Source organism: Homo sapiens, chromosome 9, assembly GCF_000001405.40.
Source record: "Homo sapiens chromosome 9, GRCh38.p14 Primary Assembly".
NCBI lineage: Eukaryota > Metazoa > Chordata > Mammalia > Primates > Hominidae > Homo > Homo sapiens.
Genome location: NC_000009.12, coordinates 18,768,915 through 18,786,304, shown reverse-complemented (window position 1 = coordinate 18,786,304; position 17,390 = coordinate 18,768,915). Strand labels below are relative to the sequence as shown.

Sequence of the window (17,390 nt, the reverse complement as noted above, 5' to 3'; positions counted from 1 at the left end):
GGTTGGGGAGGATAAGCTGGGAACACCTAGGCCCAGAAGAGAAGGAAAACAGGGAACAGGCTTAGGGATTAAAAGGCTGAAATTCCTTAGACTTAGCCATTTCCCTAGGATTCCATGTTAGTAGGAGTATCACCTGGGAGTGACCTCCCACCCACAGGAAGAAATAAGTATTTTCTTCAAGCATCTAGTTTCATATTATTCTTTAAGTTCACTTGCATTCCTTTTGAAAAGAAAAGAAAGTCTTACTTAAAAGCTTACAGACTTAAATCAGCTGAGCTATGAGGAATCTGTGATTTTGGGTTACTCCTGGTTCAATAGTGTTAAGTGGTAAGCAAGGCCTTCCCTGACAGTGTGGTGCTATCAGCAGTATGTAGGTGTTTCTTGGGGGAATGATCAATCCTCATCCAGTAATTTTTCCTAATTTGGTAATCCAATGTGCAGTGCCAATTTTGGAGAATCTGGCTCTTCTACAAGGAAGTCAGCACTGCCCTTCCAGGTATTGTTTCTAGAACTGGATTTAGACGTAGGAATACTGAACATATATTTGTCCATATTACGTAAGCCTCCTGGTATTAGATGTAGAGAAGGAAAATTTACCAGGTTCTTTGGCTAGGGGTGTTATACTCTATCCAAAAGCAGACTGGAGTTAGCTTTTGCCTGAGTCTCATCTCCAAATGTGTGCTCAGTGTTTATATAGAATGACTGAAAGCGAGGAACAGTTTAGCTTCATATTGCCTGTGGTCTAGGTCTCTAACCACACATGTGCCTGAGCCATCAACACTGTAAACATGTGCAGTCACAGACACACACAAATGTAGCAATTGTAATGTTTATTGAGTGCCTAATTTAGTGCATATTTGCATACACATGTGTATATATAAAGGTAGCGCTATCAGTAGAAGAAAAGGCTATCTTTAAAGCAGTTATGCCAAAATAAAAACAAAAGCCTCATCAGCTGGAAGCCAGTTGGCTAGAATATTGAATGTTAATTTATGCTGGGTCTAGTTGACCCCAGTGGCCTTCTTATAAAACAGTGGCAAGTCCCTGTATTCAACTAAGGTTATAATCAATAAAAAGAAATAGTTCCAAAAGCCAGACTGCCTTGGATTCAAATCCCAGCTCCATTAAGTTTTTTTTTTTTTAGACGGAGTCTCACTGTGTCACCCAGGCCAGAATGCAGTGGCACGATACCAGCTCACTGCAACCTCCACCTCCTGCGTTCAAGCGATTCTCCTGTCTCAGCCTCCCAAGTAGCTGGGACTATAGGCATGCACCACCATGCCCAGCTAATTTTTGTATTTTTAGTAGAGACAGGGTTTCACAATGTAGGCCAGGATGGTCTCGATCTCTTGACCTCGTGATCTGCCCACCTCGGCCTCCCAAAGTGATGGGATTACAGGCGTGAGCCACCGCGCCTCACCCCAGCTCGATTACTTTTTAAGTGAGAGACTTTGAGCGAGTTAATCTAACATCTCCGTGCTTCAACTCCAATATCGGTAAAATTGGGATAGTAACTTCAAAGGGTTATTGTGAGGATAAATGAACACCTGAAGCCCATTGTAAGTGCTCTATAAATGTTACCTGTGATGATGAGCCTGATGATTTCTCCACTGGCCTGGATGTGGTGGGAGACGGGATGTGATAGGAGATTTACTCTGTACTTATACACACTACAGCAGTGCTTTTCAAATTGCACAGTTGTGTCACAGAATCTCAGGGTTTCCTGAAACTTCTTTAGTGGAGAACATATGGGCAAGTCAGAAATGTTTGGTTAGGAACAGGTATCACTCTGGAACTCTTCCACAATGGCATAGGAAATCCAGACTATAAAAAACCTTGCAGACCGCAGCCTCCTCACAATAAGAAAACCTCCCTCCTAATCGTGGGCATCCAACTATTCATTCCTTTATTTATTCATTCAGTTTTTTATTTGTTGAGTGTCTATCATGTTCTTAGAATTACGGAGAAAATAAGACACATTCTTAAATATAGGCCCTTGAGAATGATTAATAAACTCCAGAAAAACTAACAGCTAATTTTAATACACAATGGTAAGGCCGAGAGAGTATTATGCATAGGGTACTATGTGGATGATGGAGGGGGTCATCTGACCTGGCTTTGGGGATAGGCTTCCTGTAAGGAAGGGCAGGAGTTAGCCAGACAAAGTGGGTCAGAAGGCCCCAGGCACATTTGTGAACAGCAAGTATTTGTGTACTGCTGAAGAGCAGAGCTCAGTTCTATGAGGTCAAGGATATGGTAAGAGATGAAGCTGGAGAGATAACTGGATGTCAAATGATAAAAGCCAAGGCATCCGGACTTTATCCTCAAGTGATGACAAGCCATGAAACGAATTTTTAAGCATGAAAGCAGCATGGACAGGTTTGCTAGAAAGATGCTCTGGCAGTAGCATGGTGAATGGTCTAGAGCAGGAGGCAGTAAACTTCTCTGTAAAGGGACAGATAGTAAATATTTTAGGCTTTGAGGGCCACCTGTAGTCTTTGTTGTATATTATAATTTTTTGTTTGTTTTTAATAACCTTTTAAAAATGTAAAAGTCATTCTTTTAATAACCCTTTACATGCCTGGTTTCAAATCCCAGCTCTACCACTTATTAAGTGTGAGAACTTGAGCAAGTTAACCTAACAGCTCTGTGCTCAATTTCATTGGCTCTTTTAATAACTCTTTAAAAGCCATTCTTAATAATCCTTTAAAAGATGTTAAAGCCACTGGCTGTAATTTGCCAACCCCTGGTCTAAAGAATACAAATATGAATTAGGAAGCTGTTGTGATAATCTAGAGCTGACAAAGCAAACCTGTGCTTCTTCAAAGTGATCCTTGAATCTGGCTTCAGAGTCACCTGTGGTGCTTGTTTAACTCCAAATTATGGGTCCCTACCGTAGAAAGAGTTTCTAATGGTAGGGGAGGATGTGGGAGTCTACATTCTAACAAGCTCCTGTTAATTATTATGCACGTTGGATTTTTGAATCCCTCTTCAATCTACTTTTAAAAGTTTAAAAGAGAAGTATTCTACCAGTTGGAGTTCAATACAAACTGGGGTCCTACATTATTTCATCCTACACCAGCACTTGAAGGTTTCTTAGTTGCTGGAGAGAAGTGTTCTTGCCTTATTTATCATCTCAATGTATCTAATGCCCAGTAAAGATCAATAGTGTTGTAGGGGCTACTGCAATGGCCCCTTACTAGCCCCCGACTTCCAATCATGTGCCTCTACAATCCACATGCCACAAGTTAGCCCATGTGAATCTGCAAAATGCAAATCAGATCATGTCACTTTCCTGTTTAACATCCTCCAAATTCTTCCTGTAGTACTCAGTGTAAAACCCGAACCCCTTCCCTTGGTCTCCAGTTACCCTCACAACCTCATCCCATACCACCTCTACCTTTTGCCTCCCTTACTACAGCCAAATGGACTTCTTTTGAGTTCTTTCAACACAAAGTCATTGTCGCTTTAGGGTTTTCGCACTGCCTTTCCCTTGTCCAGGAGTGTTCTTCCTCCTCACATCACAGTGCTGGGCACTGGTCATCATTCAGATAGATCTTGGCTTATGTGTGATCTCCTTAGCACATCCATCTAAAGCGGTCACCAAATCATTCTCTTATTATACCCGTTTTAATTTTCTGCCTGACACTTATCACCACCTGATCTTTTTCTTGCTTACTTTTATGTGTTTGTTGCCTTGCTCCATTCATTTGTTAATTCATTCACTATTATTTAGTACGTTTGGTGCCGGTTACTGGGCATACAGCCGTAAAGAAAGTCTTTAGCCTTGCGGAAAGGCAATCAACAAATATTTATGTAACATATCAGAGAATAAAATTATCTAAATAGAGTTAAAAGGATAGACAATGATGAGCGGTGCTCTTTTAGATACAGGGACAAGGAAGTTCTCTCCAATATGTGCCATTTGAGCAGAACTCCAAATGCATGTAAACTCCAAGGGAACATAGTTTCATTTATCACAATATTTCCAGCAAGTCGATGTATACCTGGCATATTATAGTTAGGTTAGTAAATACTTAAGCAATGAATAAATATGCATACCTCTTTCTTAGCACTTATAATACTGCATTTACTCCTCTGGCTCCCAAACTGGACTTTGAATTTCATCAACAGGAAATGAATCTTCTTTTCCTCCATCCCTAGTATCTAACACAGAGTCTGGCTTAGAGTAGGCATGAGATTGTTTGCAGAATAAAGGAAAAAGGAAGTAGGGATTATGATGAACCAGCCAGTCATAACACACTAAGGACACCCTGTAAACGACTGCTTGAGAAGTTGACAGACATGCATTTCTGAGAACTATGTGAATTTCAACTAGTAAGTTATATAAATGATGAGACACAGTAGTATCAGAATTATTAGTGATTCTTTTCTAAAACTAAATTCTTTCAAATCAAACTTTGGAATATTTAAAAGCAAAGAAATAACAGACTTCTCTCACTTTTTTCTGACCTGGACCTATCTTGCTGGCTCATGCTATTTGGAGGATACTTTAACAAATTGCAAAGTCCCACAGACCAACACACAGCTGAATCTTGCAGATGCTCAGAAGGTAGATTTGGGCCTTTAGCAAAAACAGACTAACTGAACTATAACACTGGACATTTCAGCACTTCTGTTTGAAAATAAATGAGCATTTCTGAACCACTACCAGACATAGTAATGATGACAAGCAATGAAACCCAACACAGGAAAGGTCACCAACAGCCCACAGCAAAGCAGTCCTAATGGCAGCTCTGTGCCTCCTGCATGATCTGTGCAGATACATTCACTCTTTTCTTAAACAGAACTTGAAAGATAGAGAAAACTAAGCTCCAGCCGTATTTCTTATTGAACAGCCAACAAAAATGGAAAAATTGTGATGTCAAAGGTCAGAAAGGGAAATGTCTTATTTTTCCTTACCACATGCCATTAACGTGCATTGAAAAGCTTAGTCAAGCCTAGATCCAGAAAAATAAAAAATGTGATGGCAGCAAAAACTGTTTGTTCCTGCCTCTCAGGTATCTTCCCTCTTACCCTCTTAGTGCTACCCTCCCCCACAACGATGTCCTGGATGATGGAGAATCCAGGACTTTCCCTCTGCTTGCCTAGGCCCAGTGCTTTAGTGTTCTTTGCACCTGGCTGCCACGTCTCTGTTTCTATCAAGATTCCACTGAACCTTCTCCATCTTAAAGCCATTGGAGTTAGACTCTCAATGCCCATTAAGGTAAAAATTAAAAGGGCCAAAGTGTGTTTCCTAAGTGCTATTTCAAGAATTATTGGTGTTCCTGAGATTACTAAGCCGAAAAATTGTTCAGTGATTAAAGGAGAACTTTGAAACCACAGCATACTATATTGTCCACTTGGAAAGTCACAACACACATTGGAATGCTTAAAAGAGTAAAATAAAAAGAAAAATCCCAAATAATTTTCAGTTGGGGGATAGTTAAATGCATTCAGGAACAGTAATCAGCTGTTAAAAAAGGTAATATAGACCTCTACCTACTATTATGAAAACATCTCATAGACATGCTGTTAAGTAAAAACCAGTCACATTTCTGAACATGACTAATATCCTATTAAAAAACCCAAATCCTATGTGTGCATATATGCTTTTTATGTAATACAGTAAAATATATAAACATTCTAAAAGGATGTATACCAAATTATTAAGAATGATAGCCTCTGGGAGCATTGGGGGGAAGAGGGAGGCTTGTACTTTTTATAGATTTAGATATTTGAATTGTTTTATAGCCCTTTTATTACTTTTATAATAAAAAATCAAGTGTGATATTAAAAAAATAGACATAAAATCCAGCAGTACATACATCTGTTTAGCCTTAAGTTTGCCCTTCTCAAACTCTTGTGATCACTGAGCCTGTTTGTGGAGCATTTAGAAACAACTTGTGCCACAACTTCTGAAGTTACTGTGGTCAAGGTTCTCCCATCAGCATATGAGTTTTAACCTTCCGTGGCCTTCCGTAAATGAGGGAAGGAGGTAGGAGGGATGTCACAGATGATATGGTACAGTCTCCTCATTTATGAAATGAAGAGACTAAGACCGTGAAAAGTGCAGGGCCTTGGCAAGATCAGATTGGACCCCTCAATGCTTGTCTACCTCCTTCCACATCATTCCTGCAGTCACCAGGTGACCTAGATGGGCCATGGGCCTTGGATTTCATAAAAAGTCTCCAACACTCAAAGAAATTGTCAGGACCTCTAATCCAGGGGCTCAATGTTCTCCCTGCAGGCAAAGGCTGAGCAGAGTCCTGATGACCCCTTCCCATTGCCCTGTCTCGTTCCACAGCTTTTTAGGAGGAAGTAGGAAGATGTTAATTTCCATCTTTTCCCTCATGCAGCCAGTCGTGATTCCCTTCAATCCCAATAGTACCAATCCCAGGCAATAGGCCCAGGGGATAGAAATAAAACGTTGTACCTACACTTGATAAACTGACTGGCTGGTAGAGGAGAGGGCATCATAGTGGTGTAATAGGTACAGCAGGTGCACCGATAGGACTGAGTATCAGGCCACCCCTCATCACCCTGGGTCCACACACTGGAGCTGCCACTCAGTGACCTCAAAGGGCTCGACTGAAATCTTTCCAACCATGTTATAAGGATTTTTTGGAGAAAATGACAGGGATAAGAGCAGTTAAGCTGATTAAGGAAAGTATGAGTTGTGGGGGCTGGAGGGCGTGGACAGAGGGGCAGGTTAAAAGCACAAGCTCTGGGGCATGCTGCCTGTGTTCAGACCATTTCCAGTGTTTCTATGTGGGTCCAACCTCTGTCCCTCAGCTTTCTATCTAAGATGTGGTAACTACAGTAGTACCTACTAGTTCCTACGATCTTGAGGGAAAATTAAACAAGATAATGCCTTTAAAGCACTGAGCACTATGTCTGGCATACAGTTGGAGCACAAAGAAATAATACTTAGTATTGTTATCAAAGGTATTTGGTCTATAAGTACTAAGGCTGAGAGGCAGTATTATTGACATTACAAAGGCAAAAAATGATGTGTGCAGGATGGACAAAAGTTATTATATATCTATTCACCGAGTCTCAGAAGAGTAGACAGAACTCTTCCTTGGAATCAAATAAACTTGATATTGAATGCTTGTTTCAGCTCTTACTAAAATGTGATCTTGGGTGAGCTGCTGAACCTTGGTTTTCTACGTAAAACTGGAGGATAATGTCAATCATGTGGATTGAATGTTAGAATAAAAAATGCAGTTACTTATAAATAAACTTGGCATAGTGCCTGGAACAATAAATGCTGGCTTCTTTCCTTCCTTACCAAAAGCTAGCAAGCCAGAGAAGACTATTAGTCAAACAATAGCATTTAGATATAGACTTAATGAAAAGAGCATTATGCTTGGATTCTGAGAAGATAGAAGGTTAAAATGAGGAATCTAGACTAGAGGACTATGATTCCGTGATTCTTTAAAGTGACTACCCATAAGGAAGTTCTTTTTGTTGCATATCGTAGCTCTGCCACATAATAAATACAACCTTTAGTAAATTACTTAACTTTATGTATTTCCTGTTCTATAAGGTGTGGATAAAAATTGTATCCACTTCTATTCAGTGAGATAAAACACATAAAGAGTTTACATTTGCCTGGCAGATAGTCACTAATCAATTAATGACAACCATCTTCATTGCCAGGGCCCCTGTAAAGATTAAAAGAGACAAAATATGTACAAAGTAAGGCACAGGTAGCGGTAAAAAATATTATTAATTCTACTACCACTATTGATTCTACATTATGAATGGCTATGACCCAGAGAGACAAGGAAGTGATACATGCTGTCATCCTGATAATGATACATCAAAACAGAGACAACAGGAGATATTAGGATAATCAATCACAGGTCCCACTGGGAATAAAAGCTTTCTGGAACAAACAGCCTTGTCCAGCACAGATACACGATGGGCTCACCCATGGGAAACAGCAGGTGCTGGCTGCATTCTCTGCCCAGCCCTGGGGGACCACACACACGGAGTCAGTGTTCCAGTGTCAAAGCTTTTCCATGGTTCATCTTACAGAGTAGTAACATAATAATGCCTTGGCCTGGAATGATGTCTTTCTGCCAAAAGTTCAAAGCTATCCAGAGAGTATCTCATTTATCTTTGGGATCCTACAGGGATAGGAGTGGGTAGGCAATGTTGCTATTTCCTTATAAAGATGAGAACAGACAGTTTAGAAAAATGAAATAGCTTGTCTTTGCTCCAGTAGTCTATCAGTGCTAAGAGAGGGCCTGCACCCCATGATGGGGTCCCCGAGGCCAGCTCTAAGCCCTACCCCTGGAAACACCTTGAAGAATGTGTAAGTAGTGTGACTTGGGCCAGATGTGGCCCCTTGCCTCCCTCCCAAGACCAGGTTAGCTACAAGGCTCACCTGTCACTGAACTGAACTTCTTCTCCATTCCTGGCCCAGCTGATGGTAGGCCTTGGGTGGCCGATGGCCTCACAGTGCAGAAGAACACTCAGTGTCCCGCTGGCCAGGGCCACCGTCTGCCCCAGGTGGGTGACCACCTCCGAGGCTGAGAGCTGCTGGGCCGCTGAGATCTTGCGCAGGATGGTGGGCTTGCGGTGTGGCCTTCGAGAGCCTCCCCCGGCGTCCCCGGTGGAGGAGGTCCGCAGGGAGCTGCTGAAGCCAGACACGTGTTTATGAGGCGAGAGAGTCACTGGGGAAGTCCTGCGCTCCGAGGGCTTCAGGAGCGTGTCCTGGTGCTCCAGGTGGCTGCGGAAGATCTCCTGGGCCAGCTGGGCCACCAGGTGCTTGCTGTAGAGGTCGCGCAGCTCCTCGGGCTGCTGGGAGAGGTTCCCCAGGATGTCGTCCAGGCGCCGCTGCTCGGTCACCATGGTGAAGGGCAGGTGCAGGAGCACTTGCTCTGCACCCGGGTCCTCCTCCGAGGTCGTGTTCCTTTCCGCAGAGTCCTGCGCCTCCCACGAGGCCAGCAGCTCTCCGGGCCAGCCGCCCTGCTCCAGCAGCCGGGAGACGAGGTCGTCGTAGCGGCTCCCCGGGTTGGCGGCCAGGCCCCGCTTCTCCGCCTTGCTGCCGTTGGAGAAGATCCCGTTCTGGTGTTTGTGGGTCTGCAGGGCCTCCTTCGGGCCGCCCTTCCTCCCCGCAAGCACCTCTTCCTCACTTCTCGGGCTCAAGGGCCGGGCCACGAGCTTGCGGTTGCCTCCGATGAGCTTAATCACAAAGTGCTCCCGGGCCGGGCCCGCTGAGCAGGTGTAGACGCCTGCATCCGAGGGCTTGAGGCGGTGGATCTTGAGATAGCCGAAGGGGGCCACCGTGACGTGCGTCGAGCTGATGAGGTGCTGGCCGTCCTTCTCCCAGGTGATGAGGGGCTTGCGGACCCTGCGCGCCGGGCAGCGCAGCACCACCGCCGTCTTGGGGAGCAGGTAGGCGAAGCCCCCCACCACGAAGTGCAGCTTCCTCTGCCTGCGAGTCTGTATGTAGACCTTCCTGGCGGCCGCGATGTGCGGGCTGTGCTTCGTGGATGGCCGCCCGGGCCCTGGAAGGAGAGCGAACCCGAAGGGACAGAGAAAGAGGTGGGGAGAGAGAAAACCCAGAGTGAGATGCAGCCAGGAGAGAGGGGCAAAGGAAAGAGCCAGAGTGGAGAAGAGAAGGAGAGACGAAGGTGCCGGAGGACGGGAGAGAAAGTATTCTTCGGGGTTTATTTTGGCCGGGGCCATCCTTTACTGCCTGTGTTTTTCGGGAGGACCTCATTCCCGGCTGTGGACCATCAAGCTGCCACCACAATCAGAACTAATGAGATGCAGTGGGCAACCCAATGTCTCCCTGCTGGGCCTTGTTGCTCCTAGAAGCTGAGATGCAGAGTTCTAGATGGAGGGGGATCCCGGGGGAAAGCATTTCCTCTCATTAAAATAATTTTTAAACAAGAAATCAACGTCATAAAAAGAGGCAGAGGACAGAGAGGAGAATGTCTTCCGCTAAATGTTTGCCTTCTGGGTCCTGCAAGGCACCAGAGCCCTAAAGGACATGGTAAGGACAGCCTAGAAGTGTTGCGGCTCTAGGGATTAATATTAAACAGAACAAATCTGTTTAGAGTCGTTTAAAACCCCAGAGTGGATAACATTAGACATCATTAGTAATACACTGCCTCCAGCTTCCAGATCTCTGTATGCCAGCAAGTGAACTTTGCTCTACCCCCCTGCAAACTGTTTTTCCAGTGGAGAGGAGAATTTAGCCTGGCCACGTGTAATTAAGATTCCTTTTCCGTCTCCAGCTGAGCTCTCCTGCCTGCAGCCCTCCATGGGGTTCTACTGTCCCACTATTTCCCACAGGTCTTGAGTTTAGGGAAGGCCACGGCGTGGTGGCTATAGCTGCTGCTGTGTGGGTTTCATCTCCCCATTCCCAGAGCCCTGACATACTTACTTGCACAGGTTGCCAGCATACAGGGCCTGATGGAGGAAGAGAAAGGCAGGGGCGGGCACAGGGTGGAATTGACAACCGTTGAGAGGCCGGTTTTCAGCATCTTTCGGCAAATGGCGCTTCGAGTCTGGGTGCCTTCCCCGCAGCTTGTGGAACACTGGTGGAGAAAGAAAGGCCAAATGCACATAAATTCTGGGAACTAGAAGCTAATTTTTTAATAGACTGTCAAACTCATCAAAATATGAGAAATTTGCTTGGAAAAGCAATAACCACTGTGATAGAAATACTAATTATGAGGTCACAATGTGGAAGACCTGCCCATCTTGTAGACATTTTGCACTCTAAGATTTTCTACTCTGAGGTTTCCTGAAGACCTTTTATCTATTTTACATATATAGTCTGGGCTTCAGAGTTAGAGAGTTATGGAGTGTTTAAATCCCAGCTCAGTATTTCACTAGTTGGCAAGTTACTTAAATTCTCTCGTCTGTTTCCACTTATGCTTAGTTTGCAAGCCTGGGAATTAAGTGAGATAATATATTTTAAATGCCATACATAGAAATGACAATTATTGCTAATTCCTTTTTCCTTCCTTCACAAGTAAGTGACAATATTTTAGTGTCAAGCATTAGGTAGTTATGAATCTACTTTGTCTAAGGTAGGGTGCTAGATGTTAAGAAGAAAAGATGTGCAAGAATAGTTCCTAATCTCAAAGAGCTGTCATTCAAATGAGGGGAAAATCCCAAATGCATTGTTAAAATGAAATAGTCCATTTGGGAAATATAAGTCAAAACCACCATGAGATACAACTTCATATCCACTAGAATGGCCATAATAATAATAAAAAAAAAAGACAACAAGTGTTGGTGAGGATATGGAAAATTAGCAGTTTCACTCATTACTGGTGGGAAAGTAAAATGATACAGCCTCTTTAGAAAACAGATTGGTAGTTTCTTACAAAGTTAAACGTAAATTTACCATGAGACCTAGCAATTTTACTACTGGGTATCTACCCAAGAGAGACAAAAACATACATCCACACAAAGACTTGTGTGCAAACATTCATAGCAGTATGATTCATAATTGCCAAAAGTGAAAATCACCCAATACCTATCAGCTGGTGAATGAATAAACAAAATATGCCATATCTATACAGTGGAATATTATTCAGCCATTAAAAGGAGTATAGTTCTTATATGTGCTACAACACAGATAAACCTTAAAAACATACTAAGTCAAATTTTATAATATATAAATTATACCTCAATAAAGCTGTTTATAGAATTGTAATTACAGAATTTGGTAAAAACATACAATTAGAAGACAAGTAAAGTAGTATAAAATTAATGGTAACAATAATGTAATGCTTATAGTACACTAGGGATTTCCTCACCAAGGTCTTGAAGATGATTGGAGTCTGGGTGGGTGCAGAGAAACAGGGATCAGATGGGAGACAGGGAAATTTCCAGAAAAAAGATAATAATTTCAGTGTAGGAGTCCCAAGGCAGGCATGGGACAGAACAGTTTGACAGAACAGAGGGCTCAAGTTCTAAGTGTCAGGAGCTTGAGGGTTAGTTTGGAGACCTTTAATTTTCAGACAAGAGGTTTGTAATTGGTCCATAAGGCAGTGGGAAGCCACTGAAGAGGGGGGTGACATGATGAAAGAGGTGTTTTGAGAAGGTTAATCTGGCAACATTGTATGGAAGGGATGCAAGCAGGAGATGGATGGGAGGCAGGGCATCGGGGAAGGAGGCTGTCATCTCCAGGCTTGCCTGAATGAGGGCTGTGGGAGTGTGCCACGTTAACTTGAAAAATGATGGTTAAAAAACAAACAAAAAATGATCTTATATTTTCAAGTGTTATATGCTAACATATTGAAGTGACACTATTCTGTGTGATGTGCTGTGATATATGCTACCCTGAAAGAAATTTAAGATGCAAAGGATAGTGGTGAGAATCAAACCCATTGCTTTTATAGTCTGAAAATTATGGGTTCCAGATTCCACCCATTCCTTATTTTATTGTAAATGACAGCGCTAAATCCAAGGATCAGGTGGGATGGAAGTAAGAAGCCTGAAAATTTAAAAGAGCATGGTCGTTTTAAGGCTGCTAAGTAGAAACATAAAAACAGAGTTTCAGGTCAGAAGACTGGGTTATGACTTTGGTCAAGTCTAGCTCTTTCTCTAGCTTCAATTTCCATATCTCTGGAATAAGGAAGCTAAGCTAGAGCAGGGATTTTAAAACTGTGTTCCATAACTATGTTGAGGAAGTGATTCGGGGGCTTCTCAGGTGATGAGGAGACCCAGCCGTTGGAGATCTGAGACCCCTACTCAAACTTAAACCAAAACAGCTCTAATTTTATCTGTTTAAGATTATTGGCTTCATAGTAACATTTGATTTGATAAAGCATTCTGTGGTCTTAATTTTTTAACAAAGTAATTAGGCTATAGGATCTTTCAAGCTCCTTCTAGCTCTAAAATTATTCTTTCTTTTAGAATTTTTTTTGGGGGGAAAGGAGCAACTTCCATAAAATAGGATTTAAAAATATTTAATATCAAACTCTTTCAGGAGATTGAGGGTTTCTTTCAGAGAAAAGAAGTATGGCCTTTTGAGAGGTCTTACTTCCAGAATAGAATCTGTAAGTAATTTTATTTGAAATGTCTAAAACTTTGGCTTAATTCTGTCTCTATGGGATTCTGTGCAGTAACCATGAGATTGAGCCCAGATAGTGGAGGATGAAAAACACCCATAGATCATTTAGGTCTTCCCTTCTCCAAGGGCAGTCTCATGGGAGGTGTGGCATGCACATCTCATCTCAGCCAGACGGCCAGGGGAATGGTCATAAGGATGACAGGGTCAATGTGGAGCCTTTGTGAACACCTCCAGGAGCACTTCAATATGGCACCAGTTTGAGTTTAATCCCAACAATTCAGTGATTACTTCCCACCATTCCCAGCCCCTCCTCAATGTTTGGAATCTCCATTCATTAACCCAGATAGCTCAGAAGCTAGTAACATTCGTTGGATAAGGGCTACCTCCTCCCAGTTCCCAAAATAGAACTTCCTCTTGAGGAAGACCAGGAGAGCCTGTAGGAGACCTAAGCTGTGGCCTCAGGCCCAGCCAGCCATGGTGAGTGCTTCCTTTCATTTCCTTTCCTTCTCATGACAAGTGAGCCCAAATGGAAGACAATCATAAGGGTTCACTTTTAGTAGGCACAAAGTATTTTACATGCAATATATATTAAATTATATTTAATTTCATCCTCCCACCTACATGATGGATACTATTATATTTCCATTATACAGATAAGCAACCTAAAGCCAAAAAGGTTAAATAATTAGCCCAAGGTTATACAGCCAGTAAGTGGCAGAGTCAGGATTTGAACCTAGGTTTGCCTGTCTTTGAGTCTGAACTCTTAACAACACATGATACTGTTCTGAAGGCCTACTGTACTTAATGGGACCAATGGGACCTTTTTCTTAGTCCCAAAATCTCAAAGGTCCCCCTCAAATCTGCAGGCACAAAAGAACATTTTCTGAATCTTCTCTGTCTCATATGCTTCAAAGGCCACAAACTCCAGGAACACAGGAAGACAATTATAACACACACAAGTCCCTTCCTCAGCAGTCCACTCATGACAGACTATTACCTGATAGATTTAGGGGAGCAATTCCTTTTATAATACTCCACTGAGAGAATGTTTTCACCTAGAGCCACTTGGCAAATACACCTACCTCTGTTCTTCAAATGCCATACCCCAAATCAACATTCCCACGGAAAAATTGTCACTAACATGCACATGCACACACACACAAATGTACACATGCTCATTTTACACACTTTATATCTTGAAATCAAATTTAGAAAGCATGAGAAAATAATTCCCCAAACGTTCTGAGACATTTGGCATGAGATACCACAAGAAGCAGTTTTACTGCCAAGTTATAAAACCTGTCGTAATGTAAGTTAACTCTTAATTGCAATGCACTTAGCAGGCACCATCTCATGGAATTCTATGTGGGTTGATAAGATATGGGCAAGAATTCTAAGAACCTATGTTGAGAGAGCTGGATCTTAATTTTCACAGGCCGCTTTGCCCTCTGTAAGCAAGTATCTCTGTGAGGTATTTCAAGCAGCAGCAGCTCCCTCCTGTGAGTTGTATACTATCCAAAAAAAAAAAAAAAAAAAAAAAAAAAAGGCACTGGGGTTAGGAAGGCAAATTCAAATGCTTATATGCTAGAAAAAGGAAGGTCTTGAATCTGGCTTTACAGACATTTTCACTTCAGGTCTAGTGATTCTGTTCTTGGCTAAATCTTCTTGTGAGGCAACAATTTTGGGGGACTTCTCCATGGAAGACACACAGGTCTATGGAGGTGGAGAAGTCGAAGGCAACTCGAAGTGGTAGTGGCTGAAAACAAAGGACTTGAAGCTAGGTGTAAATGAATTGGCGTACGCTAGAATTAGGAGAGGCATTATTTAGAAAGATAGGTTAGTCAGAGGTATGTCTCTAACTTAGCAGATAAAGTCGGGAATGGTGAATGCTGAAGCAATCACTTCCCAAAGTGCAGGACAACAAGGGAAATCAAATTCTCTTGATAGGAAGCAGTTGAAGTATTTTAGAGCCAGGAAACTAACAGTAAACAGGCAGGATTTCCTTGGCCTTCTTTTCCTAATAAATCATGTCCTTTATTGTCCAGTAACTTGGAAGAGACTTGCTAGAGAGGCTTTGCCCTTCCTGAATAGAGACAGAAACATCTGGGAGTAAGAGGTACAGGGAGGTCAGGAGGAGGGGGTGGTGTGGAGATAGAAGGAGAAGAACCCAGTGTGTGGAAAAGAATCCTGGGGCCAAAACAGCACCAATGAGGTCTGGTTTTGTTCCACGAGGAGCCCATTTACAATTCCAAGCTTCCGATTGTTGGGTAAGGGCTGGCTGCGTAACTCAGGTCCCTGCAGCCTCGTTAAAAGCTAGTTACACACTACGGTATATATGGTTACAAAAATACTATTCCATAATATTAGGAAGATTGTTTTGTTCTCTTCTTGCCTTTTCTATGTATATGTCTGGGGTGCCTTCTTTTCCTACTTGGATCTCTTTCATTCTCTTCGGAGGAACATACATACCTCTGTCCAGTCTGAGAGAAGCCACTCGCTGGGACAGTCATCTTTCTTGCATGCTTGCTGGCAGGCAGGTTTTGAAGCTGAACAGAAGGTCTCAGGAAGCTCCAGGAAGCTGCCATCAGCCATGCGCTGCTTGCAAAGAACCTCACGTTTCTGAACACCCCCGCCACACGTTCTGGAACACTGGGGAAAGAAAGAAGGAAAGAAGAAAAAGTAGACCCAATATGGGAAGGCAGTCTGACTGCTAATTCTTATCTTAATTTGGCAGAGTAAAGGAAGAAAAAAAAATCCAGAAGAAGAAGAAAAACCAGGAATCGGCCCAAAGGATTTTGTTTCTTCTCTTTGAGATGAATTTTGTAGCAAGATCTACCCTCTCCACTCTTAATCCCAGGTATTTAACTAGAGCATCCAGGAATTTCTGGGGCCTTTAAATCTTAGAAAGTTGCTCCTGAACTATGATTTGCAGTCCCATCCAAGACAACTGGTTTAAAAGGTTAGTATAATAGAGTGTTCAGCATATTTACGATCCAGGGAAAATAATCTGTGCTGCTTCCAGAATGAACAGGAGAGAGCTCCCGCCATCAGTATAAATCTGGAGGAATTAATTTGCAGAAAAGACAGCCCTTTCTCTAAGTGAAGGCACTCTACCACACGGAATGGGCATTAGATTTAGGGTCTGGTTTTCTTAAGGACCCCCCTGGAATACTCTTCTTGCAGGACTGATGATTTCTTAGGGCAGTGGGAGCCAGAGCCACTGAAATTTGGGATGCAAGAAAAATGGCCTCATGTCAGTGGTTTTCAGAGGAACCCCAATAAAACATTGTTTACATGTAACTGAATAGTTATGATCCAGGGGCATGAAGTGGGAGGGAGGCCCCCTGAAGCACAGACTGTTGGCTATTTTCAAATATATGTCCCTTCCTTTTCAGAGCAAAGGAGTCCCCAGCTTTTCACTGGGCATACCACATTTCGGCATAAAGACTATATTTGTCAATCTCCCTTGAAGACAGACACAGCCATTTGACTTGATGCTGGCCGATGGGATATAAACGGAAGGGTTGTGTGTGCTTTCAGGGAAGTGCCCAAAAAGATGGTGTGGCATCTCTTCCCTTCTCTTTCTCCTCGCTGCTGGCTGGAATGTGAACGTGATGTCTGAAATGTAAGCTTCCATCTTGGGCTGTCACAAACAAAAAGTTAGAAGCCTGGCTTCCTGACTGTGAAACCACCATATCTGCTCTGGACTGTCTGTGTTTATGTGAGAGAGGAAGACTTTTCTATCTTTTTAAAGCCAATGTTATTTTGGGTTTTCTATCACTTTCAGTCTGACATAACCCTAGCTAAGAGTTCAACCCACGACTACTCTGTGGTGGGGATATTTTATTGTAAAATTTTAGGGAGCCTGCTGATTTCTTCCAGAATAGTTTCTTGTCATTAGCTTGCTGCCTTTGGGCTTGCTGAGAGATCAAGCCTGGTTTTAAAAAGCGTGAGAGTTTGTGCTGAAGTACCTGCTTTGCTGGAGGAGTGCCCCTCTCAGAACTCACGTTGGTCTTTGTTTAGTAAGTTGTACTCAGAATGGCTATGGGGTTTTTTGCCGGCAGTCAAGGTTATGATGGTGATACCAGTGTCCTTGGGTACAGTCAGAACATAGCTGCAGCCCAGCTTTCACCTTCTTACTCAGTGGTCTCAACCTTGCATGCACCTCAAGGTCTCCTGGGGAGCTTTTAAAAAGTACCGATGCCTGGGCCTCACTTCAGACCCATCAAATCAGATATTCTGGGATGTGGCTCCCAGGTACCAGTTTTTGTTTTGTTTTTAAGAAAGATATCGGTATAATCTTCTTCCAAGTAATTTTTCCCCAGATAATTCTATT

The 17,390-nt window shown here is 42.8% G+C and overlaps 1 protein-coding gene across 16 annotated transcripts in view, besides 3 other annotated features; it reads right to left on the bottom strand.

Moving 5' to 3' along the window:
- The window catches only part of ADAMTSL1 (ADAMTS like 1), a 1,004,318-nt gene that overhangs the window by 124,646 nt on the left and 862,282 nt on the right, over window positions 1-17,390 (bottom strand). For all 16 annotated transcript variants that reach the window (XM_011518064.4, XM_017015312.3, XM_011518063.3 and 13 more), the window contains 3 exons: window positions 15,524-15,703; window positions 10,409-10,562; window positions 8,399-9,524 (listed from right to left, as the gene is read on the bottom strand). In XM_011518064.4, the coding sequence (XP_011516366.1) occupies window positions 8,399-9,524; window positions 10,409-10,562; window positions 15,524-15,703 (1,460 nt within the window). The remainder of the gene's footprint in view (window positions 1-8,398; window positions 9,525-10,408; window positions 10,563-15,523; window positions 15,704-17,390) is intronic.
- Window positions 6,513-6,682: an enhancer, noted in NCBI's record as "experimental_107208 CRE fragment used in MPRA reporter constructs". NCBI's record gives its function as "activates a minimal promoter by MPRAs in K562 erythroleukemia cells, with activity observed for the introgressed 9:18779706 variant allele {active_cell/tissue: K562}" and the evidence as "EXISTENCE:reporter gene assay evidence [ECO:0000049][PMID:34662402]".
- Window positions 15,172-16,371: an enhancer, noted in NCBI's record as "BRD4-independent group 4 enhancer chr9:18769932-18771131 (GRCh37/hg19 assembly coordinates)". NCBI's record gives its function as "activates an origin of replication core promoter dependent on BRD2, P300/CBP, MED14 and CDK7 cofactors, and independent of BRD4, by STARR-seq in HCT116 cells {active_cell/tissue: HCT116}" and the evidence as "EXISTENCE:reporter gene assay evidence [ECO:0000049][PMID:35650434]".
- Window positions 16,798-17,017: an enhancer, noted in NCBI's record as "active region_28218". NCBI's record gives its function as "activates an Ori minimal core promoter by ATAC-STARR-seq in GM12878 lymphoblastoid cells {active_cell/tissue: GM12878}" and the evidence as "EXISTENCE:reporter gene assay evidence [ECO:0000049][PMID:35858748]".